The sequence below is a fragment of the Homo sapiens genome, chromosome 18 (genome assembly GCF_000001405.40).
Source record: "Homo sapiens chromosome 18, GRCh38.p14 Primary Assembly".
Classification (NCBI taxonomy): domain Eukaryota; kingdom Metazoa; phylum Chordata; class Mammalia; order Primates; family Hominidae; genus Homo; species Homo sapiens.
The window spans coordinates 43,833,539-43,860,318 of NC_000018.10; the positions used below are offsets into that span (position 1 = coordinate 43,833,539).

General features: G+C 36.4%; 1 long non-coding RNA gene across 1 annotated transcript in view, besides 1 other annotated feature; it reads right to left on the bottom strand.

Moving 5' to 3' along the window:
- Positions 1 to 26,780, bottom strand: part of LOC105372088 (uncharacterized) — a 122,698-nt gene that overhangs the window by 22,852 nt on the left and 73,066 nt on the right. The window lies entirely within an intron of this gene.
- Positions 12,534 to 13,350: an enhancer, noted in NCBI's record as "OCT4-NANOG hESC enhancer chr18:41426037-41426853 (GRCh37/hg19 assembly coordinates)". NCBI's record gives its function as "activates a minimal SCP1, AML or CMV promoter by ChIP-STARR-seq in naive H9 embryonic stem cells {active_cell/tissue: H9 hESC(naive)}" and the evidence as "EXISTENCE:reporter gene assay evidence [ECO:0000049][PMID:30033119]".

Sequence of the window (26,780 nt, forward strand, 5' to 3'; positions counted from 1 at the left end):
CGACTCCTGATGAGTTGAGTCCTGGTACAGTCTATCTAGAAAAATCGTCCTGTAGAAATATTTTTTGGTATGTGAGACTCTATTTCTTTACTCCTTGCCCTAAACAAGCTCTGGGGATTGACCACCTGTTACATAAGTTCTTGCTGCAATGGGCATTTAGGGGCTTCTCTAATTATCAGCCTCTGGGGGCAGAAATACTTTAACTGTCTCAACATCTCCCACCACTTCCAGTTTCAGGTCTGCACCCACTGACATCATTGTATATTACTTTTATCTGGAAATCTCTAGTTCGTGCCCTTAGAAATACTAATGTAGGCCTTTACCATTCATTTATCTAAGCTAGAGTCCTGTTATATATCATGTTCCCTTTCATATGGCTCAGGTCACTAACATTCTTAAAATATACTAAGGTTACTTTTCAGCTAGGAGTAGCTGCTGCCCTTGGAAAATTCCTTCAGAATTGTAGGTTAAAAGCATTATTAATATTTTTCCCTTTTTGTGGCTTCTCTTGTCCGTCATTAAATCTTCTCTGATGAATATATGTATAAATATTCTTTATTCTGATAAAGTTAATTTTATGAGTTTTTCCTCTGTGATTATTTTAGTGCCCTGTATTCTCCCATATTATCTTCAAGAAATTTCATTATTTTTCTTTTTCACTTTAGATTGACAATAAATCGGTATTTGATATTTGTGAATGTATGAGTAGGGGTCAATTTTATTATTTTTTCATAGGAATAGTTGACTGTCCAATCATATTCATTAAAAGACTGTTCATTTTATACTTCGCTGCAGTGTCACGACTGTCATCATAGGTCCATATTATCATTGTCCTGTTTCTAGACTCCATTTATTTGGCCTTTTGTTATTCTTAGCTTAACTGTATGATGATCTAATTTCTGTAGATTTAAAAGTATTGATATCTAATATAAAATGCATTCACTCAGTTTTTCCTTTTTAAAGGCTTTTTCAACTCTTCTTGGCTCTTTCCATTATCACATACATTTTAGAATCAGTTCATTAAGTTATAAGATACACACACACACACACACACACAACCCCCAGAAGAAAAAGCAAACTTTCACAATATTGATTGATATTGAATCAAATTCATAGATTGGTTCAGAGATAATTCACATTTTTCATCCTTTTACTATGATTGTCTCCTATTTATTAAAGTTTTTGTTTGTGGCAATAATATTTTTATAGTTTTCTGTTTAGAAGTCTTGTATATATTCTGTTAAATTTATTTCTAAGCATTTGATTTTTTTCTGATTATAAATGGCATTTTGAAGATCATGCTTTCTTATTTTTCATTGCTTGAATATAAAAATACAATTTTTTTAAAAAAATATTGACTTTGTAACTACAAATCTTGCTATACTAATGTGTCAGTTCTGATAACTTATCTGTAGATTCTGGTGAATTTTCTTGTGGATTATATCTTCTACAAATAATGACTTTTTTTTTGAGAAAAAGTCTCACCATGTCGTCCAGGCTGGAGTGCTGTGGCATGATCTTGGCTCACTGCAGCCTCGATCTTTTGGACTCAAGCAATCCTCCCAGCTTAGCACCTCAAGTAGCTAGGACTTTGGTGTGCATTGCTACGCCTGACTTACTTTTTTTTTCTTTTTGTTGAAATGAGGTATCCCTATGTTGCCCAGGCATGTCTCAAACTCTTTGGCTTTTATTTAGGTTTTTTCATCCTGAAAAAGTTATTTATTGTTTTGTTTTGTTTTTTTTTTTTTAACTAAGATTTCCAGAACAATAGTGAGTGAAAGCATTTGTACTGGGAATTCTTGTCATTCAACATTTTATTATTACACATGATGGTTGTTGTAAATGATTTTTCTACTTATATTTTATCAGATTAATGTAGTGTTCTTCTGAATTTAGGATGCTAGCGCATTTTTTTAATCATTACTGTGAGATGAAATTATTTAAAAAATACTTTAGGGGTGTTCCAAGATGGCTGAATAGGAATAGCTCCAGTCTGCAGCTCTCAGTGTGATTGATGCAGGAGATGGGTGATTTCTGACTTTCCAACTGAGGTACTTTGTTCATCTCACTGGGACTGATTGGACAGTGGGTGCAGCCCACAGAGGGTGAGCTGAAGCGGGGTGGGGCGTCGCCTCACCCAGGAAGCACAAGGGGTCAGGGGATTCCCTTTCCTAGCCAAGAGAAGTTGTGACAGAGTACTTGGAAAAATGGGACAATCCTGCCAAAATACTGTGCTTTTCCCAAGGTCTTAGCAACTGGCAGGCAAGGTGATTCTCTCTTGTACCTGGTTCAGCAGGTCCCACGCCCATGGAGCCTTGCTCACTGCTAGCACAGCAGACTGAGATTGATCTGCAAGGCTACAGGGTGGCATCCTGGCTTGGGGAGGGGTGTCCACCATTGCTGAGGCTTGAGTAGGTAAACAAAGCAGTCAGGAACTGAACTGGGCAGAGCCCACCACAACTCAACAAGGCCTACTCCCTCTAGACTCCACCTCTGTGGGCAGGACATAGCTGAACAAAAGGCAGCAAACAACTTCTGCAGACTTAAACATCCCTGTCTGACAGCTCTGAAGAGAGCAGTCATTCTCCCAGCATGGCGTTTGAGTGCTGAGAACGGACAGACTGCCTCCTTAAGTGGGTCCCTGACACCCTTGTAGCCTAACTGGGAGACACCTCCCAGTAGGGGCTGACAGACACTTCATATAGGTGGCTGCCCCACTGGAATGAACTTCCAGAGGAAGGATTAGGCAGCAATATTTGCTGTTATGCAGCCTCTGCTGGTGATACCCAGGCAAACAGGGTCTGGAGTGGAACTTCAGCAAACTCCAACAGACCTGCAGCTGAGGTACTTGACTGTTAGAAGGAAAACTAACAGAAAGGGATGGCATCCACATCAACAAAAAGGTCATCTACACCAAAACCCCATCTGTAGGTCACCAATATCAAAGACCAAAGGTAGATAAAACCACAAAGATGGGAGAAACAAGAGCAGAAAAGCTGAAAATTCTAAAAATCAGAGTGCTTCTTCTCCTCCAAAGGATCACAGCTCCTCGCCAGCAACGGAACAAAGCTGGATGGAGAATGAATTTGACAAGTTGACAGAAGTAGGCTTCAGAAAGTCAGTAATAACAAACTTCTGCGAGCTAAAGGAGGATGTTTGAACCCATGGCAAGGAAGCTAAAAACCTTGAAAAAAGATTAGACGAATGGCTAACTAGAATAAACAGTGTAGAGAAGACCTTAAATGACCTGATGGAGCTGAAAACCATGGCACGAGAACTTCGTGATGCATACACAAGTTTCAGTAGCCGATTCAATCAAGTGGAAGAAAGGATATCCGTGATTGGAGATCAAATTAATGAAATACAGCGACATGAGAAGTTTAGAGAAAAAAAGAGTAAAAAGAAATGAACAAAGCCTCCAAGAAATATGGGAATACATGAAAAGACCAAATCTATGTTTGATTGGTGTACCTGAAAGTGATGGGGAGAATGGAACCAAGTTAGAAAACACTCTTCAGGATATTATCCAGGAGAACTTCCCCAACCTAGCAAGGCAGGCAAACATTCAAATTCAGGAAATACAGAGAACACCACAAAGATACCCCTCGAGAAGAGCAACCCCAAGACACATAATTATCAGATTCACCAAGGTTGAAATGAAGGAAAAAGTGTTAACGGCAGCCAGAGAGAAAGATCGAGTTACCCACAAAGGGATTCCCATTAGACTAACAGCAGATCTCTCAGCAGAAACTCTACAAGCCAGAAGAGGGTGGGGGCCAATATTCAACATTCTTAAATAAAAGAATTTTCAAACCTGAATTTATGAAGAAACTAAGCTTCATAAGTGAAGGAGAAATAAAATCCTTTACAGACAAGCAATTGATGAGAGATTTTGTCACCACCAGACCTGCCTTACAAGAGCTCCTCAAGGAAGCACTAAACATGGAAAGAAACAACCAGTACCAGTCACTGCAAAAACATGCCAAATTGTAAAGACCATCGATGCTATGAAGAAACTGCATCAATTAACGGGCAAAATAGAAAAAATAATAATGGTAGGATCAAATTCAGACATAACAATATTAACCTAAAATGTAAATGGGCTAAGTGCCCCAATTAAAGGACACAGAGTGGCAAATTGGATAAAGAGTCAGGACCCATCAGTGTGCTGTATTCAGGACACCCATCTCACGTGCAAAGACGCACATAGGTTCAAAATAAAGGGATGGAGGAAGATCTGCAAAGCAAATGGAAATCAAAAAAAAAAAAAAGCAGGGGTTGCAATCCTAGTCTCTGATAAAACAGACTTTAAACAAACAAAGATCAAAAGAGACAAAAAAGGCGATTGCATAATGGTAAAGGGATCAATTCAACAAGAAGAACTAACTATCCTAAATATATATGCACCAAATAAAGCAGCACCCAGATTTATAAAGCAAGTTCTTAGGTCCTACAAAGAGACTTAGACTCCCACACAATAATAATGGGAGACTTCAACACCCCACTGTCAATATTAGACAGATCAATGAGACAGAAGGTTAACAAGGATAGCCAGGACCTGAACTCAGCTCTGCAACAAGCAGATCTAATAGACATCTACAGAACTCTTCATCCCAAATCAACAGAATATACATTCTTCTCAGCACCACGTCACACTTATTCCAAAATTGACCACATAGTTGGAAGTAAAGCACTCCTCAGCAAATGTAGAAGAATAGAAATCACAACAAACTGTCTCTCAGACCACAGTGCAATCAAATTAGAATTCAGGATTAAGAAACTCACTCAAAACTGCACAACTACGTGGAAACTCAACAACTGTTCCTGAATGACTACTGGGTAAATAATGAAATGAAGGCAGAAAGAAAGATGTTCTTTGAAACCAATGAGAGCAAAGACACAATGTACCAGAATCTCTGGGACACATTTAAAGCAGTGTGTAGAGGGAAATTTATAGCACTAAATGCCCACTAGAGAAAGAAGGAAAGATCTAAAATCGACAGGCTAACATCACTATTAAAAGAACTAGAGAAGCAAGAGCAAACAATTTCAAAAGCTAGCAGAAGGCAAGAAATAACTAAGATCAGAGCAGAACTAAAGGAGATAGAGACACAAAAAACCCTTCAAAAAATCAATGAATCCAGGATCTGGTTTTTGAAAAGATCAACAAGATTGATAGACCGCTAGCAAGACCAATAAAGAAGAGAAGAGAGAAGAATCAAATAGATGCAATAAAAAACAAAAAAGGGGATATCACCACTGATCCCACAGAAATACAAACTACCATCAGAGAATACTATAAACACCTCTACTCAAATAAACTAGAAAATCTAGAAGAAATGGATAAATTCCTGGACACATACACTCTCCCAAGACTAAACCAGGAAGAAATTGAATTTCTGAATAGACTAATAACAGGCTCTGAAATTGAGGCAATAATTAATAGCCTACCAACCAAAAAAAAAATGCAAGACCAGAAGGATTCACAGCCTAATTCTACCAGAGGTACAAAGAGGAGCTGGTACCATTCCTTTTGAACCTATTCCAATCAATAGAAAAAGAGGGAATCCTCCCTAACTCATTTTATGAGGCCAACATCATCCTGATACCAAAGCCTGGCAGATACACAACCAAAAAAAGAATTTTAGACCAATATCCCTGATGAACATTGATGCAAAAATCTCAATAAAATACTGGCAAACTGAATCCAGCAGCACATCAAAAAGCTTATGCACCATAATCACATCGGCTTCATCCCTGGGATGCAAGGTTGGTTCAACATATGCAAATCAATAAACGTAATCCATTTCATAAACAGAACCAACAACAAAAACCACATGATTATCTCAATAGATGCAGAAAAGGCCTTTGACAAAATTCAACAGCCTTCATGCTAAAAACTCTCAATAAACTAGGTATTGATGGAACATATCTCAAAATAATAAGAGCTATTTATGACAAACCCACAGCCAATATCATACTAAATGAGCAAAAACTGGAAGCATTCCCTTTGAAAACCAGCACAAGACAAGGATGCCCTCTCTCACTGCTCCTATTCAACATAGTGTTGGAAGTTCTGGCCAGGGCAATCAGGCAAGAGAAGAAATAAAGGGTATTCAATTAGGAAATGAGGAAGTCAAATTGTCCCTGTTTGCAGATGACATGATTGTATATTTAGAAAGCCTCATCGTCTCAGCCCAAAATCTGCTTAAGCTGATAAGAAACTACAGCAAAATCTCAGGATACAAAATCAATGTGAAAAATCACAAGCATTCCTATACACCATTAACAGACAAACAGAGCTAAATCATGAGTGAACTTCCATTCACAATTGCTTCAAAGAGAATAAAATACCTAGGAATCCAACTTACAAGGGATGTGAAGAACCTCTCCAAGGAGAACTACAAACCACTGGTCAACGAAATAAAAGAGGACACAAACAAATGTAAGACTATTCCATGCTCATGGATAGGAAGAATCAATATCATGAAAATGGCCATACTGCCCAAAGTAACTTATAGATTCAATGCCATCCCCATCAAGCTACCAATGACTTTCTTCACAGAATTGGAAAAGAACTACATTAAAGTTCATATGGAACCCAAAAAAGAGACCGCATTGCCAAGATAATTCTAAGCAAAAAGAACAAAGCTGGTGGCATCACACTACCTGACTTCAAACTATACTACAAGGCTACAGCAACCAACACAGCATGGTACTGTTACCAAAACAGATATATAGACCAATGGAACAGAACAGAGGCCTCACAAATAACTCCACACATCTAGAACCATCTGATCTTTGACAAATCTGACAAAAACAAGAAATGGGGAAAGGATTCCCTATTTGATAAATGGTGTTGGGAAAACTGGCTAGCCATATGTAGAAAGCTCAACCTGGATCCCTTCCTTACACCTTATACAAAAATTAATTCAAGATGGATTAAAGACTTATATATTAGACCTAAAACCATAAAAACCCTGGAAGAAAACCTGGGCAATACCATTCAGGACATAGGCATGGGCAAGGACTTCATGACTAAACACCTAAAACAATGGCAACAAAAGCCAAAATAGACAAATGGGTTCTAATTAAACTAAAGAGCTTCTGCACGGCAAAAGAAACTACCATCAGAGTGAACAGGCAACCTACAGAATGGGAGAAAATTTTATCAACCTACCCATCTGACAAAAGGGCTCATATCTGGAATCTACAAAGAACTCAAACAAATTTACAAGAAAAAAACAACCCCATCAAAAAGTAAGCAAAAGATATGAACAGACACTTCTCAAAAGAAGGCATCTATGCAGCCAACAGACACATGAAAAAATGCTCATCATCACTGCTCATCAGAGAAAGGCAAATCAAAACCACAATGAGATACCATCTCACACCAGTTAGAATGGCAATCATTAAAAAGTCAGGAAACAACAGATGCTGGAGAGGATGTGCAGAAATAGGAATGCTTTTACACTGTTGGTGGAAGTGCAAGTTGGTTCAACCATTGTGGAAGACAGTGTGATGATTCCTCAAGGATCTAGAACTAGAATTACCATTTGAACCAGCAATCCCATTACTGGGTGTATACCCAAAGGATTATAAATCATGCTACTGTAAAGACACATGCACACATATGTTTATTGCAGCACTATTCACAATAGCAAAGACTTGGAACCAACCCAAATGTCCACCAATGATAGGCTGGATTAAGAAAATGTGGCACATATACACCATGGAATACTATGCAGCCATAAGAAAGGATGAGTTCGTGTCCTTTGCAGGGACATGGATGAAGCTGTGAACCATCATTCTCAGCAAACTAACACAAGGACAGAAAACCAAACACCGCATGTTCTCACTTATGGGTGGGAATTGAACAATAAGATCACTTGGACACAGGAAGGGGAACATCACACACCAGGGCCTGTCGTGGAGTGGGGAGCTGGGGGAGGGATAGCATTAGGAGAAATACCTAATGTAAATGATGAGTTGATGGGTGCAGCAAACCAACATGGCACACGTATACCTATGTATCAAATCTGCACGTTGTGCACATGTACCCTAGAACTTTAAGTACATAAAAAGGTTAGGCTGGGCGCAGTGGCTCACACCTGTAATTCCAGCACTTCAGGAGGCTGAGGTGGGTGGATCACTTGGGGTCTGGAGTTTGAGACCAGCCTGACCAACATGGTGAAACCCTGTCTCTACTAAAAATACAAAAATTAGCCAGGTGTGGTGTGATGGCAGGTGCCTGTATTCTCAGCTAAACGGGAGGCTGAGGCAGGAGAATTGCTTGAGCTGGGAAAGCGAAGGTTGCAGTGAGCTGAGGTCGCACCACTGCACTCCAGCCTGGGTGACAGAGGGAGACTGTCTCACAAACAAAAAAGGTTAAAAAAAAAGAAAATAGTATGTTTGAGATGATCAACATGTAAAAATTGAAGCGCCTAATAATAATTAAAATGAGAGCTACTAATTTAAAAAACTAAAAATAAAAAAGACACTTTAAGATGATCATATGATTGTCATCAATTTTTATATTAATACAGTCAATTACATTGATTAATATTTTGAAATAGTCAAATATACAGACTAATTTTGAATTAGTCATGCTACCTTATACACACAAACACACACACTTATTTTTCTGTAGATTTTTATTAATCTTTTCTATATTGGCTAAATTTTTTCTATTTGCTGCTATGCTTATCATGTTTATATTTAAAGGATACCTCATAAAGTAGTTTGAAATTGTTTCTTTTTTAAAATTTTCTGAAAGAATTTGTGGCATATTAGCATTGTTTCTTTCCTAAATGTTTAATAGAATTCACCAGTGGTACCTATAGAACTACTTTGATTTTCTATTCCTTTTGGGATTAGATTTGAAATTTATATTTTTCTATACATTTAATTATTTCAAATTTAATCCTCAATATTTCAAATTATTTTGCGTAAGGTTTTCCATATTATCATCATATCATCTATTAACTGTTTATAAAATTTATGCTGAGGACCACTTTATTATTTCTAACTTTAATTTTTTTGGTCATGATTATTCTTGTATGAGGGTATGAGTTTAAAGTGTCCTTCCAGTTTTAAACTTTGAAGATAATTTACCTAGTATGTATGTATTTTATTTTATTAATCTTTACCATTATTTTCATTTCCTTCTTCACACTTTATTAGGATTTTTTTTGTTCTATTTCTAATTTCTTTATGTTCAGCTGTTCTTTTAAAAAATACATTGCTTAATTCTACACATTTTTCTCTAAATATGAATTTGTTTTATTAATACGTTTTAATATAATTAACTGAAAAATTATTTTTCCTCCTATTTTTTGATCAATGATTTATTTTTGAAGCTCACTTTTTATTTTTTAAACAGTATATTCTGATTAATTTTTGTTACTTATTGCCAGCTGAATTGCATTGTGGTTAGAGTACCCACTCAGTATTATTTTAGTGCTTTGACATTTGCTGAGACTAATGTATGGCACAATGTAAGGTTAAATTATTTCAAATCTTTCTATGTATTTTTGACAATTGTGCATTTTGACGTTGTTGGTTAAATACCAGTTAGGTCAAGTTTTGCAATTATAGTACTTGAATTTTGTATTAATATATGCTTGCTCTTTACTCATTTATTGATATTTACAAAGGTATCAATTCATTTATTAATATTTATTGATGCTATTTATTAATTTATTGACATTTATATCAGACCATCTTACACTACTCATTATGTCCCTTTTTCTATCTTCTGTATATTTAATCTATTTCTTTCTCATAGTCTTCACAATGTATATTTTCTTTGGTCTTCTCTTTCAGTTTATTAATTCAAGTTTTAGCTATAAACTCAGATATAAACTCAGCCACTAAGTTCTAAATTATTGTTTTTACATTTTTTATTTTTAAAATTTTCAATAGACTTTATGGAATGTCCAGTTTCCTGCCAGTATTTTCACTTTTGTCTCTTATTTACCTGCACATATCATGCATAATTATTTTAAAGTATGAATCTGATAACTTCAATATTTAAAGTCCTTTTTTTTTCCTACTTTTTGTTATTTCTTTTGTAAGCATCTCTCCCCCAACTACCATGTTTTTTGTCTTTTAGTGGTCGTGGTTTATTTTGGATAGTGTACTTGACATTTCGTTTGAAAAATTGTTTTAAGATATAATTTGAGGCCTAGAATGCTGTACTCTTACTCAAGATAGTGTATTTCTTTGCTTCTTCCAGGTACTTGGGTATAGTAGCATTCCTGGATCACTTCAATCCTAATTTCAGAGAGTGAGATTATTCAACATTGAACTAAAATTCCCATGAAGTTTTGTCTAATTCTAGTGCACTCTTACTCCTATGATAAAATAAATCAGAATCAGACTTAAAACCTACAGGTTCACCATTGTCATCTCATTTTGGAGAGACCTGGACTGAGACACCTGCACATCTAGGCCATTTATACTATTGAAAGCACATCCTAGCCTCTTAGTTTCTTAGCTTTCCTCTTTCACCTAAAGGAATAGTGTCCATAAATATTAGATTTATTTTCCTGGTTATCTTTCTTACCCTGAAATCTCACATGTTAATAGTTTGCTGACATATTAACTTGATGATACTCTCAATCATTTTCTTTCTTACATTTTGTGCAGTTTTCCTAGTTATACATTGTGTATGGACTAGTCTTAATTATTGAGTCCAGTATGCATGAAACAGCACCTGTACAATTTATTTACCTACTTATTTTTTTTCTGTCTCCTCCATTAGATTATAAGGTCCATGAACAGAGAAACTGCCTCAATCCTTTTCATTACTCGAATACTAATATCTAGCTAGCATAACTCTTCTAATATAAAATGGTGTCCAATAAGTATTTTGGAATGAATAAGTCAGAAATATATGACAATAATTAAACATCAGAAAATCAGGATTGGCCTTATTTCAAATTGCTTTACTTTTAATTTAGCATTTTTGGTTTCAATAAATGTATTGATTAGTATATTCAAACTTTAGTTGATATAAAATCATAAATCCTCGGTTTATATTCCTGATTATCTATTTTGAAAAATCATTTACTTTTTCAAGTTGTCAGTTTCTTTGTCAATATTAATACTCATTTCAGTAAAATCATTAATAAGATTTTACTGAAAATCAAAAGAAAATTTGGAAAAACACTTCACATGGTGACAGGAAGTGGTCATTCATTTACCGATGAGTCTATGCTATGTGTAAAATATTGTGAAAGAACCAAGGTAAGTACCAGGATAGACAAGGTTTCTGTCCTCTTGTAGCTTATATGTTACCAATAGAGACAACCAGTAAATAATTAATCACATGAGATATTACTTATTTAGATTTGTTTTGGCAGACATAAAGCATATAAGCACAGTACCACAGGAATAAATAACAAATAAAGCTGACCAAATCTGGGGAGTCTACCAAAATTTTCTCAAAGCAGTGATTGTTGCCAATAGCATATATAGCAAACATTTGTTAGGGGCTCATTATATCCTAGACACTATACTATTGACCTGCTGTTTTTTTTTGTTGTGTGTTTTTTGTTGTTTTTTGTTTTTGTTTTTGTTTTGAGATGAAGTCTCTCTCTGTCACCAGGCTGGAGTGCAGTGGTGTGATCTCAGATCACTGCAACCTCAGCCTCCCTGGTTCAAGCGGTTCTCCTGCCTCAGCCTCCCGAGTAGCTGGGACTACAGGCATGCTCCACCATGCCCAGTTAATTTTTCTATTTTTAGTAGAGACAGGGTTTCACCATGTTGGCCAGGATGGTCTCGATCTCTTGACCTCGTGATCCGCCCACATCGGCCTCCCAAAATGCTGGGATTATAGGCGTGATCCACCATGCCCGGCCTATTGACCTGTTAATAATTCATTTCAGTTAATCTTCACAATGACCCAATCAACAAATAACAGAAGCCAATATATTTGGTGCTGATACCTGTGCCTATTAATTTTGACATGAGGAAACTAAGGCTTAGATAGTTCAATTTGCCCAATTCAGAGCCTGTGGGTATTAAAGCATGTCATTAAGTTCCTGCAGATTGACTCTAAAGCCTGAGTTCATAAACAGTGTACAATATTATTGAGCCTTAGAAGAGGTGAAAGTGAAATACAGTAGTCAACAAGATGTATGGCATGGAAGAGGACTTCCAAGTAACCTCTATTTCATGGTAGAAAGTAAAATGATATAAGAAATGGACAGGCAGCCATCCCAGTTGAAGCACAAACACAGAAGTCTGTGTTAGTGCACACAAATCAGGAGAAATAGCACTCAAGTCTTTAGGGCTTGAACTCAGACTTTCTCTTATTAATGGCTTTTAAATGATTGTGAACTTCAAACATACCATTTTTGCTGCTATGTAGATCATAAGTAATGAAACCAGCCTGCAAGGGAAAACCTAGATAGTATCAGGGGAGATGGAATATTCCAATGGGAGAATTTGAAAGTATTTAGGGAGTAAATTCAATGGAACATGGTGATTGAATAGAAGTGGAGGGTCACAGAGAAAAACAACAGTTATTTGTTTTTCCTTAAATATTTTCTATAAACATACTTATGTTTTTGAGCCAACATTGATTTTACTTTTATTATTATTATTATTATTATTTTGGTCATCTGTTCAAGCTTTTTCAAGTTGATTGTTTTGCTGTTGATTTTTCACCATCCTCTTCTCCTTCTGTTTCTTCCCAGTATTACTTTGGAACATTACTACCCCTTTTATTTATTAATTTAATGAAACTCCTCCCGTGGTCCAGACTCCATCACAACATCCTGCCAGGTTTCTCATTTATTTTTATTTTCTTAATCTTAAAACCCAGATATTCTCATGTCATCCCTCTTTTCCCTACTTCCCACTTCTGGCATCCCTTACAACTGCAAATGCTCCCAAGCCTTTGAAGCTCTAGCCAGCTAATCCCTCAAACAAAAGTTACCAAAGAGCTTTATTCTTCTGACATTTTAGATCCCTTTCACTGACTGTGAGTGGCTGCCATTCTCCCCTCCTCTCTAAACCGGAGATTTACTCAAATACTATTTTACCCAGCACCATAAGCCACAAGTTCAGAATAACCTCTCCAGTGAATCAGAAGACAGTGATCAAGCATTCTTACTTATATCACAGTGATTAGGATATTTATCTTTAAATAAATTTTGCATTTGGGAAGAGAAAGTGTAGAAAGACAAACGATGAAATGCTAATGCCAGGTTTTCCAGTAACATGAGTTTTTTTGGAGGTGATAGTTTGGGAATACTTTCATCAACTTAACCCTGGTGATGATCCACTTAACCTAGAAATGGACAGTGATGAAATGATTGGCCCTCATTTTATACACTGCTGGGTCATAGATAGGTTATAATCAAATTCTGACAGCTAATTTCCTAAACTCAGTGAACCTGAGGTTCTACAAAGTAATTTAGAGCAGTCATTCTTAAAACCTTTTTTAAAATCTTAGTAATCAGAGTCAGTTAAATCAGAATCTCTACTGGTGGGACTCAGGCATTTGTACTTTTAAAACTTGCTTCTCAAACATTACTTTAGACATAAATTTGGGGATCTTTTTGAAACTGAAGATTCAGATTCAGTACTTTTGGGGTGGGGATGGAGATTTTACACTGAGTACCAAGAGAACCGGAGACTAATTCTTAAACTTGGCTGCACATTGTAATCACTTTGGAAAATGAAAAATAAATACATAAAATTAGACAAAACATGCCCAAATTCCATCCCCAGAGAATGACAGCAAATTACACTCATTTTGCTCATATTTACCTCTCTGATGTAGCTGATTGCCCAACCCAGAGAAGAGAGAAGAAAACCTCTGATGGTTGCAATAAAATAGGGTTCAATCAGAAAGCATGCTTTCTCTTTTCCAGATATGCAGCCTCTCCTGATGGTGAAGAGGATTTCCCTAACAACCTCTGAAACGTTTGTGGGCTCAGAAACATCAGCTTTACTCAAAACAAAAGCTCTCCCTCCATAGACTTGACAGTCAGCTCTCCGGGAACAGGGGAGAGAAAACAAACCCAGTTAAGTGTTCACAGTGTAATTTTCCACAACCAAAATTGAACAAATAAAGGGTTGGGAGACATGTTTTTTCAAGTTAAATCCTGTGCTTCTTCTTTAGTCTCCGCATTTCAAATGGAATTTGAATCTTTGGAGGTTAGAGTTCATTTACTTTTTGGCAGAACAGCACTTCCTGTTTCTAAGAGAAAGGCCCCAGAATACTTCTTTAATGTCAAAGGCTGTTACAAAACAGCACTTGATGAATCGGATGCAAGTGAATGAGAAACACATGGATTAAGTTTCCATTAACATTCACATGGGTTTCATAATTAAGAGAAAATGCCTGACCAAAGGAAGTGTTTTGAGTTTTACCTAATTGAAATTTTGTTTTTAAAAAAGTGCTTAAAGCTACTTATTCCGAACATGATAAGTGCCGGAGATTACTCATCCCTAACCAAAACCACCTAAGCAAATCAGACGCATAAACTGAGACCAAAGCTATAAACTGCATTCTCTCAAAAACCAACAACACTCATCAATTTTGGGAATTGTAGAGGGATGAGCCATCCTCTGATCATTGAACCATCTTAAGGAGTTTATTTACTTTGTTAAATCAGGTAATTCACAGTTTCTGACTTTTTTTTATGGATTGGACTTCTCTTCATTAAGCAGATTTTACTAGTTCACTTACCTGAAATCAAAGTAAAAATTGCCTCCACAATTATGTGATTGTAGAACCACCACTACCTTAGAAGTCAGTTAAACCTCATTCAGATCTTTCCTTGGTAGGTGAGTGAAAGGCAACATTCTGCTTCATTTTTCTCATATTTATAAACAAGAAGATAAGACTAGCGTTTTACCAACTTAAACACCATGGATTATTCAAATAGTAAAATTCTTTATGTTGTATCCCAATAATAAAAGAGAGAAAAAGGAAAATGACAGGGAGTAAAATGGACCAACAATTACTGCCAATAAGTTGAAGGTTGGGGAAGCAGCTTTGATAGAGTACTATTTTATCTCATTTCTACATATAACAACTTCTGAAAAACACTGAACTTAATGGTCAAACAGTCTTGCTTCAATTTTCTATTATGCTTTTCACCTATTACTTAGAAAGTTCTACCTCTAGATACAAGTATCTCCAACCAGAGACATTCGAAATTGTCTCCTCATCTATTCACCAAATTCACTTGTTCTATGCCCTTAAAAAAAAATCTATCAATTGCCCTGTAAATTACCACACTCAAAGTAGAAACTCGAGCTTTTTCTTGAAAGTTCCTTTACCACTTTCTCCACTCCCCACATCCATTCAGTTATCAAATACTAAAATGTGACCCTCAAATATTTTTTAATCCTTTCACTTTTCCCTATGCTTATCCTTGTTTCTTAATTTGGACCTTTGCAAATCGTATGCTGGATTATTTCAAAAGATTTCTAATGAGTTCTTTTTTTCTGTTCCTCTCCAACTTATTCTCATCATTAAACCTGAAATTCTTCTCTTTAATTTTAGCATATAGTTATTAACATATTCCAAAATAAATCTAACTGAAAATAGAAAAGGGTATAGAATAATAGTAAGGTTTTAAAGTCTACATTATTAGTCAGCTTTCTCATTGGCATTAGGGTCAAAATTTCATACATATGTTTTCAGAATTTTTTTTCCATACACAAGTGTGCATACACATGTGACTATTTGTGTGAGTAGGTATTTCCAATATTTTTGCAGGAATGTAACCATAATTGTATACATTATCGGTCTTTTTATTTTCTTTTTTTAAAATTTGACTTTAAGGTCTGGGCTACATGTGCTGAACGTGCAGGTTTGTTATATAGGTATACATGTGCCATGATAGTTTGCTGCACCTATCAACCCATCATCTAGGTTTTAAGCCCCGCATGCATTAGGTACTTGTACTAATACTCTCCCTTCCCTTCCCCCACCCCCCTACAGGCCCTGATGTGTGATGTTCCCCTCCCTGCGTCCATGTGTTCTCACTGTTCAACTCACACTTATGAGCGAGAACATGCAGTGTTTGGTTTTCTGTTCCTGTGTTAGTTCACTGAGGATGATGGTTTCCAGCTTCATCCATATCCCTGCAAAGGACATGAACTCATTCTCTTTTATGGCTGCATAGTATTCCATGGTGCATATGTGCCACATTTTATTTATCCAGTCTATCATTTATGGGCATTTGGGTTGGTTCCAAGTTTTTGCTATTGTAAATTGTGCTGCAATAAACATATGTGTGCATATGTCTTTATGGTAGATTGATTTATAATCCTTTGGGTATATACCCAGTAATGGGATTGCTGGCTCAAATGGTATTTCTGGCTCTAGATCCTTGAGGAATCGTCACACTGTCTTCCACAATGGTTGAATTAATTTATACTCCCACCAACAGTGTAAAAACATTCCTATTGCTCCACATCCTCTCCAGCATCTGTTCTTTCCAGACTTTTTAATGGTTGCTATTCTAACTGGCGTGAGATTGTATCTCACTGTGGTTTTGATTTGCATTTATGTAATGACCAGTAATGATGAGCTTTTTTCCATGTTTGTTTGCTGCATAAATGTCTTCTTTTGAGAAATGTCTGTTCATATCCTTCACCCACTTTTTGATGGGTCTGTTTGTTTTTTTCTCATAAATTTGTTTAAGTTCCTTGTAGATTCTGGATATTAGATCTTTCTCAGATGGATAGACTGCAAAAATTTTCTCCCATTCTGTACGTTTCCTGTTCACTACGATAGTTTCTTCTGTGTAAAACTAACCAGGTCTTGGAAATTTGCTATATTATTATCTAAATCATTTTTTCACAGCTTTACAATATTTCATTTTGTGAATACCCAATAATATTTATCAATGGGCAACATTCCCAATGCTATCTTTCTGCCTAACATATGCAATGCAAATTTTTAAGCACAGTGTGCCAGGACCACTCTAAAATATCCCTACCTTTTCTCTTTCATTATACTCTCTCAAGAATCCTTTTCTCTGGCCACTTTGAACTGCTTCCTAATATTTCACTGCTTCCTAAATCTCACAGTTTATAACCTAGAAAATCTGTTCGTGCCTATCCTATAAGAACGAATACATGATTATGTGAGTTTTCATGCAAAACAAGGTTTTGCTTTTAAACACAATAAAAACCCATAGAATAGCTAGCTAGTATTGATTTTCTAATAGCCACTAACTGTTATTTGCCCAACAAATATTTGTTAAATAATATATGAAATAGATTATTATAGTCTGACCTTTCACCTTGAATGCATATGTAGTTTAAACAAGAGAATATCTATGAATTTTAGATTACCTACATATATATTAAGCATTTACATATGTTTTTCCATAATGAATTAAAACTAAAGGAATGGTATTTCTGTCATAGTTATAAAGCTCACTACCTAGAAACAGCATTTTTTTCCTGCTATTTTTTTTCTTAATACAGATACAGAAAGACTTGTTCAATCTTAGCCAAAACCCAAAAGTCTTCATGCTTTCTGAATCTTTGGTGTAAAAGACAATATTAAAAATGTCAGACGAGCCAAAATACTTCTGATTATTCTTATTCTATAACTGTCTTCATTTAGTGGCATACTGGCATCTTCCTCTTCTTCCAGGAAATATTCTCTCCCTTTAAACTTAAATATGATGGTTTGTACAACTGAAAAGAACAAAATATGTAATGAAAGACTTAGGGTAACCAATATCTTAGTGAAATAAGTTTAGTGGTTTTAATGATAGTTTCTAAAAAGCCATGTCCACACCCTATTCCTCAGAAGCTGTAAATGTGGTGTTATTTGGAAAATGAACCTTTGCAGATATAAATAAGGATTTTGAGATGAGGAGATAATCCTGTATTATCCAGATTAGCCCAAATCCAATAAAAACTAGTCTTATAAAACAAAGGCAAAGGAAGGTTTGACACAGAAGAGGAGGAGACATACAGAGGGTAAGGCCATATGAAGATGGAAACAGATTATAGTTGTTATAGGCTGAATTGTGACCCCCACAAATTCATACATGAAATTTCTAATCCCTAGTGTCTCACAATAGAACTGGTCTTGAAGTTTGGGCTTTGAAATGGATAAATGAAGTTAACTGAAGTTATTAAGATGAGTCCTAATCTAAAAGGATTGGTATCCTTGTATTAATAAGAAAAGGAAATTAGGACACAGACAAATCCAGTGGTAAGACCCTATAAGGAGAGGGAGAAAACAGCCATCTACAAGCCAAAGAGGGAGGCCTCAGAATAAAACCAACCCTGCCAATGCACTTCTAGCCCCAAGACTGTGAGAAAATACATTTCTGTTTTTATAGCTACCTATTCTATGGTCCTTTGTGATAGCAGCCCCAGCAAACATCTGGAGCCATCAGATACCAGAAGAGGCAAGGAAGGATGTTCCCCCAGGGTCATCAGAAAGAGAGTGATCCTGATGATGCCTTCATTTTGGACCTCTGGACTCGAGAAACTTGAGAGAATAAATGTTTTTCTTAAGTCATCAATTTTTTTTTTTGTAATTTGTTACTGTAGCCCTAAGAAACTTATGTAATAGTTTTATTTTTACCAGGAAAATCCAAGCTGCCTTTACGTGCCTGTGTTTATTATCTTGAGCCATGGTCCATGGAGGATGGTGAATGAAGGCCTCTGCGCTAAGTCAGGGCTAGAGAGGAATATTACAAGTCTTGCTTAGGGCTCTTCATCCTCAGCTTTTTACCACCAGCTTCATGATGTTTGAAGAAAAATAAAGAATAACATTAAGTATCAATGTATTTCCCTTTGGGGATTTTTAATATTGCAATGAAAGTGTCCTCAAGGGCAGTTTCTTATTAGGTTTTGCATTACGTCCCATTCATGCTTTTCTAATGGTTTACATTTTAAGCTTTCTTTTGTAGGAAAGACTTTACTGAATGGTAGAAAATGGATTAAATAAGAATGCTTGTGTGCGTGTGTGTGTGTGTGTATGTGTGCGTAGAAGAGAGTACTGAAAAAATTAAGATTATCAGGAGAGAAAAGGAGATTACCAAGTGTATATAAATAATGCCATTTTCATAGTTTTTCTAGACCATTTTCTGACAAATCATAGTCCTGTGAGGTGGTCAAAACAACTCCTGTAAAGATTCTTTTCCCATACTCTAAATACTTATATCATCATACTTATCTTTTGTTGTTCACCACCCACTGTAATTTTCAAAGCAATTCGATTTCCCAAATAGTCTTGAGAAGGAAGGAGAGAAAGAGCCGCAAACCCTATTTACACTCAATAAGACTGAAAAGAGGTGACAAGAGTTGTTCATGACGTTGACCTCAGTTTTCTGATTCCCTGTCCATTTCCAAAGAGAGTGCTTGTCTTTTGACTGAGTTTTTTATAATGATGGTTATATGTTTTGTTTACATTACACATTTAGCTATACAAAACCCTTTCAGAAATATTGTATTTGGTCCCCTTTTCTTTCCCTTCAACACATCATTTTCAGAGCAGTTTTCTCAAAACAGTGTTTTGACACAGTCATCCTTATGTGTAATAGGTGTGATACAGTCCACCTCATTGTGGTTCTAGTCCTAGTTCAAATGACAACTTTCCCCATTGTCTTCCATGGAGATCCCATCCTTCCTTGAAATAGATTTTGCTCCACTACTTTCGTTCTTTACACATTTATGTCTACATTTTATCTTCTATAGAGCACAAGATATTTGAGAGCAGGAATCATATCTTACTCGTCAAAACTCCAACAATAGTGTTTTCTTGTTTGGTTGTGTGAGTGGTAGGAGTTCAGAAAATATCTTTGAGTGAATCAATTAATGGATGCATCTATTTTTCATAATATTTTCTTGAATTAGATGAGACAGAGATTTATATTTTAGAAAATAAGCCAGAAAAATTATAGGAGTAGCCCAGGGTAATTTAGTTAGTGTAATAGTTGGATTGAGACCATCAATTGCTCTATTCCTTTTTTTTTTTTCAGACTGCTTATATATGGGTCATAGGTAGACCAGATGGATTTCACTGCAAAGAGGTAATAGCTTTACGAGCATTTAAGCTATTGGCATGGTATGTTAGTGGCAGCCTCTGCTTTATGGCATCATGGAACTTTAAAAACGTTAGTTAAAGGAAAAGGCAAATTATAAGCAGATATAATAGATGTAACAGATGACAAGATAAACAAAGACAGCCTATGAAAGGTGAAAGGGGATTTTCTGGAGATAATAAAGTGTGATGTTGATCTTGATTTTAAGAGCAATTCATAATTAGAAACTTTTGCTGGATGTAGCAATGGCAAGAAGAACTAATATAAACCAATATACTTTGTTCAATCCAAAACACCCCTGTTGTTTTATTATTTTGTCAGTGAAGAAATTGTAGTACTAGCAATTTCATTCTTAAGTAAATTCATATGATTTCAGTGTACAAAGATGAACCACACTCACTTATAAATTTACAAATGTGCAACACAGGCACATTTAGGATAATAATCTGTAGACTGATGCAATAGTAGATTAGCTCAGAGGAGCTTAGCCTCCCATGCTTCAGGTAAGAAGAATGAAGGCAAGGTAGTGAATGCTTGGGCTATAGAACTAAACTTCATCCACACATCATGGTTTTCTGGACAGTGATTTTACAAGATAATTCATAAGGCAGAAAGAGATGGGAACAATTAAAAGATCAAAGAAACAAAAACACTGGGATGGAAAGTGATTAGAAATAAGAGATGGGCCAGGTGCAGTGGCTCACGCCTGTAATCCCAAAGAGGCTAAGGCAGGCGGATCAAGAAGTCAAGAGATTGAGACCATCCTGGCCAACATGGTGAAACCCCATCTCTACTAAAAATACACAAATTAGCTGGGCATGGTGGTGCACACCTGTAGTCCCAGCTACTCAAGAGGCTGAGGCAGGAGAATCACTTGAACCAGGGAGGAAGAGGTTGCAGTGAGCCCAGATCGCACCACTGCACTCTAGCCTGGAGACAGAGTGAGACTCTGTTTCAAAAAAAAAAGAAAAGAAATAAGAGATCAAGCAGGTTTGAGCCCCAGGACTTCCAGACCAACCTGGGCAACATGGTTAAAATAGGTCTCTACAAAAAATAAATAAGTAAGTAAGTAAATAAATTATCTGGGTGCGGTTGATCCTGCCTGTAGTCCCAGCTAGTTGAGAGCTGAGGTGGGAGAATTGTTTAACCTTAGAGACCAACACTGCAGTGATCCATGATCACACCACTGCACTGTAAGACAGAGCAAGACTCTGTCACTGTCATAAAATTAAAAGAAAGAAGAGATTGGTGAACCACTATTTGCGTAGCAGTAGCCTAAGGCAAGATTAGGTCACAAGCAACAGTTTATTTGCTATCTAATCTTTTCCATATTTAACCATGTTGTTATTTAACCATTTGGAGCATCAGTTTCTTCTGTAAGTCAAAGATGTTCAGCCTATCTGCCTCATGGAGATTTCAGGGTGTTTGAATTTTCGATGAAAAGGCAAATCTGGTTGTATGCATAAAGCGTAAGTATGTTTTATGAAGACACCTCTCTCTGCTTTCTCATTTGCAAACCTCCAGAGCAGCCTAGGGAGATTGCAGACAAGATGTAATGGTGCAAGCTCATTAACAAAGATCTAATAACAAAATCACACACAAAAAATCTAATTAGCAAGGTTACCTCTGTTGCAGTAGTCCAGTGGAAATAAACACAGGCTTGCATTTGTTTTTTGCATGAACCATATTTTTTTCATTTCCCTTAAAATTAAAAAAAAAGGTAATTTTCCTTCCAAGTTGTGTTCTCTCCTACATCATTGTTATTGGTGTTGCCTAGACCCTGGGTTTCTTCTAGTGCTTGGAGGGAGTGACCAGAGTCATTTTCATTGATAAGAAGTCTTTGATTTCCAAGCCACTCCCATTAAAGCATCCTCCTGGAATCCTTGTGCTGGGGCCCCACACAAGGGCCATCTCCCTGGCTGGCCTGGCAGTTGTTTCACGACACACATCAATAGATCCCAAAGGCTGAGGAAGGCAGGCAGTTAGGGTGTGAGAACCCCAAGCACTCCATCCCAACTAAAACCCTAGGGGAGATTGTGGGGGTTGCAGAAGGTAATTAAGTAATTGGAATTTGGCCAACACACCAGGGTGAAATGACACAACAAAGTCTGCATCCCTCTGTTTGCAAGGGCCGAAGGGGTTTACACATCACTCACAATATACATGAGAAGCTTCCAGGGGCAGCTGTGACTGGCCAACAGGAGCCCACATTAAGAGAGACTGGGCTTTGCTTACTTGTAAAATTAGAGCTGCAGCACATGGAGGCTTTCCATTCTAACCCCTCATTTAACAAGTGAGAAAATGAGACCCTAGAGAGTAAAGTTACTTACACAAGGTCACTCAACTCAGATACAGGAGCTTCGGAGTTAGATTTCAGGAATTTTAATTCTAAGTCCTATTTTGTTGCCACTGTTTTTACCCTAACTGTAATGCATTAGAAATTCAGATAGCCTGTCTGGCTTTAATGTGCACTTTTATCACCTTTGCCTTAAAATGTCTTTTTCTGTGATTCTGAAATGGAGATAATAATGCCTATCTCACTAGATGTTTGATTAAACAATTACACTTCTAAGAGAAAACACAAAGAAAATCAGGACAATTTTGAGGTAAGCAAAGATTTCTTAGGCCACAGAAAGAATAAACCATAAAGGAAAAACAATAAATTGTACTTCATCAAAATTAAAATGCTTTGCTCATAAAAAGACACTTTTAAGAAAATGAAAAAGCAAGTCACAGTCCAGGAGAAAATATTTGTGATGCATATATCTGACAAAGGACTGGCATTCATAATTTATAAATAACTCTTACAACTCAATTATAAGAAAACAAAGATCCTTTTAAAAATAAATGAACACAGGACTTTGTTAACAGATACTTCAGAAAAGAAGGTGTACTTCTGTCCAATAAGCACATGAAAAGATGCTTAACATGATTGGTCATGGGTAAATGAAAATTAAAAACACAATAAGATACCTATTTTATATCAATAAGGGTGTATAAAATTAAAAATACCCAATGTTAGCAAGTATATAGAGTTATTCTCATATATGTCAGGTGGGAGTGAAATATATGAAAACAAAGCCAATTAAAAAAACCAAACACAGAAAAATAATAAAAAAACAATTTTGGAAACGTGTTAGATTCTTACAAAGTTAAGTATCTATTGTATATCCAGAACGTTGACTCCTAAGTATTAGCCTGAAATGAAACAAACCCACCATCTTATACATAAGTGTTTATAGCAGTTTTACTCATAGTAGCCCTAAGTAGAAGCAACCCAAGTGTCATCTGTTGTGGCATATTCTACATGGCACAGTCTCCTCAGCAATAAAAGTAGAGAAACTGTTGTCAAACATAATAATGGATGAACTTAAACATTGGGTTGAGGCAAAGAAGAGGCACAAAAATTATTACATTTGCATGAAGTTCTAAACTGGGTGAAATGAATGTTTGGAAATAGGTCAAATCAGTGGTTGCCTGGGATAAATTGGGGTAACTGGGATGACTGTAAATGAGCATGAGGAATCTTCTTAGGGTAATAGAGTTAATTTATGTATTTGTTAGGGTTGTGGTTACACACTTGTCATACTTGGTATTGTCGTGGTATATGTATTCGTCAAAACTCGTGGAACTACACACTTAAGATGGCTGTATTTTGTTGCATGCAAATTAAAGCTCAATAGTTTTAAGTCAACATAATGGCTACCTCTGTGTAGGAGCTCACAGGGGACTTCAGGGACAGAAGATCTGTTTTAGTTTTGAAGTTAGATGATCAGTTCACAAGTGCTTGGTTTATTATCCTACTTCGTAAAACATATGGAGCACATATAATTTGCCATGTATCAAATATTACATAATAAAATTTTTAAAGGAACCAAACAGATGTGATGAGATACCATAGGTAAAGTGTTGATCAAAATTTCCAGCTTTTAGGAAGTGATTACTATGTGCTAAGCTTTAGTTCATTTACTCCTTGTACAAATTTATGGGGTAGTTTTCATGATCTAATTATAAATATGAAGGCACTGATGATCAAAAAAGTTAAACTAACTCATCAACATTGCACAGTCAGTACAGAGTGGAGCCAGGTCTAACATGTTCTTGCTCTTACTCCCATGTTCCTCCTGCCTCTAGCACTTTACTCAATATATGTTAGTTCAGCCCTCTCCGTAATTCATTTCCTGCTGATATGGGAACATCAGATTTGGATGTCCCCTCCAAATCTCATGTTGATATGTAATCCGCAGTGTTGGAGGTGGGACTTGGTGGGAGGTGTTTGTGTCATGGGGCGGATCCCTCACTTCTTGGTGCTGTCCTCATGACAGTGAGTGAGTTCTCAGAAGAACTGGTTGTTTTAAAGTGTGGCAGCTCCCTCCTCTCTCACTTGCTTTTTCTTTTGGCCATGTGAAGTGCCTGCTTCTGCTTCACCTTCTGCCATGAGTTAAAGCTTCCTGAGGCCTCTTCAGAAGCAAATGCCAGCACTATGCTTCCTATACAACTTCTAAACATCTTTTCTTATAACCTACTACCCAGTCTAGGTATTACTTTATAACATGCAAGGATGGCCAAATATACCTGCTTCCTCAGGCCCAGGAGTATACAGCACTTCTCTCACTCTTTGTGCAGTGCCCATTCTAGTGTGATTCTGCTCATTTACATCCATGTATTCCCTCTATCACTGCCACCCCTTGCACTTGTCACTTCCATGTCATGCCCAGACTATTCCCATTGCTCATCACTCTATTTTCAACTTTTCCTTCCTCAAATTTATTCTGATTCTACTAATGCTAGATGACGAGTTAGTGGGTGCAGCGCGCCAGCATGGCACATGTATACATATGTAACTAACCTGCACAATGTGCACAAGTACCCTAAAACTTAAAGTATAATAATAAAAAAAAAGAAACAGTTTCTTCATGCGAGCAGCAAGCTGATCATAAATATAAGCTGACTTTCAAATTCCTAAAATATAAAACACTCTTCTTTTCAAGCTTTAAAGGACCTCGTAGTCAGTTGAGCTCAAGCTAATATTGTCCTATAGGATTTGCACATCACACTCCAATTCAAATGTCTGCAAGGATACTCTGAACAGATCTTATGCTTTTTCTCCTGTGTTGCCTTTCTGGAGAACTCTGGCTTTCCCTTCTTTTCTCTGAATCCACACATCTTTCAATTGTTCAATTTAAGCACCTTATCAGTGAAACTTCTCTGACCACCTCCAAGTAAACTTAAGCCACTTTATCCTTTTTAGTTGTGTGTGTTTTACTACATCTAAAACACTTTCATTCATTCATCTTTTACACCATGTTTGTTGAGTTTCCACTAGGGGCCATTCTCAATGTGTGTTACATTCATATAACTGTGAATGAAGAACAAAATCCTTCCTATCAGGAAGGTTGCTTATATTCTTGCATTCTTGTTGTTCTTGTTCCTCAAAATCACTTTAAAGCTTCTTGAAGTCTGGGATCTTGTTTTATACCTGCATCACCTAGCAGGTATAATTCACTTTTAAATAATGTATAGTTAAAGAAGAAGGCAATCTAAAACTAGTTATTCATGCCATTATCTAATAGTCAAGTTTTGCATCTCTCTTTCTGGTCTGCTATAAATGAAAAGAAGAACTTCTTGAAAGCTACATGTAAAACTTTAAATAATGTTTTTTCCTGGATGTTGGCATCATAAGTAACTTAATCTACTGTCTACATTTATTACCCATGTAATTTAAAAGAATGAAATAACAAAGAAGAATGTTATGTTAGTTGGAATTTTTATATTGTTCTTTTGAGTTCTCCTTAACTTAGAAAATATCTCCTTATCTAAAGAAAAACGTAATCTACCAAATAGCCTAGGACTTGTCACTGGCTCTGTTATTCAGTTTTCCTTATTGTGATTTCATGAGGCTAAGATAATACCTTACTTTTGCTACCCTTTGAAGCTACAGTTAGTGATTAATAATATACCATGACTGAATAAAGTACGAAATGACATTGGGCAGAGAACATAGCTATAAAGGATATATGATAAATCTTATTGTCATTCATGAGCAAAGTCATTGTAGTATAATGTCATATGATGTATAAAATGATACATATTGATCAACTTTTTAAAAGTTGTTTCTATATGCCCCTGTTGTCACTTTTTTTTTTGATGGAGGATAAAATAATCCTCAGGCTTTATTCTACATGTAATGTGACAAATAGCTGGTGACAAAGAATCATTATTATCATGATCAGTAATGAAGTCTATGGTGAAGTAATATTGCTGCAGAGACGATAATGCTCCATTATAATGACAGGATATTGTATTCATTTAAAGTATAAAATAAATTATGATATCATTACTATTCATTGTAGGCAATATTAATAATTTATTACTATTATTAAATACAATTATGTGGAGAAAACTAATGGAGAGTTTTCTGATGGCCCTGGGGCATTTTGATCCATTGACAACAGCAGGGCCCCAGCTATATTGGCCCCTGCTCCACCCCCAGCCTGGTGGGTGGTTTGTTCTACTGACAGTCATAGCACTGATAGCAATGGCAGCAACAGAGTTCCTGGCCTTCCCTGCTCCCATTTCATAGAACACCCTCATTTGGTCTCATCTTGCCACAGTAGTGTCAACATCAAAGCCTCAAGCCTTCTAAGACACTGGTCCACAAACAGAGCACTGCCAGGTGGTCCTGTCTACCTGTAGCAATAATAGGAGCTGAGATGATAAGGATCATGTATT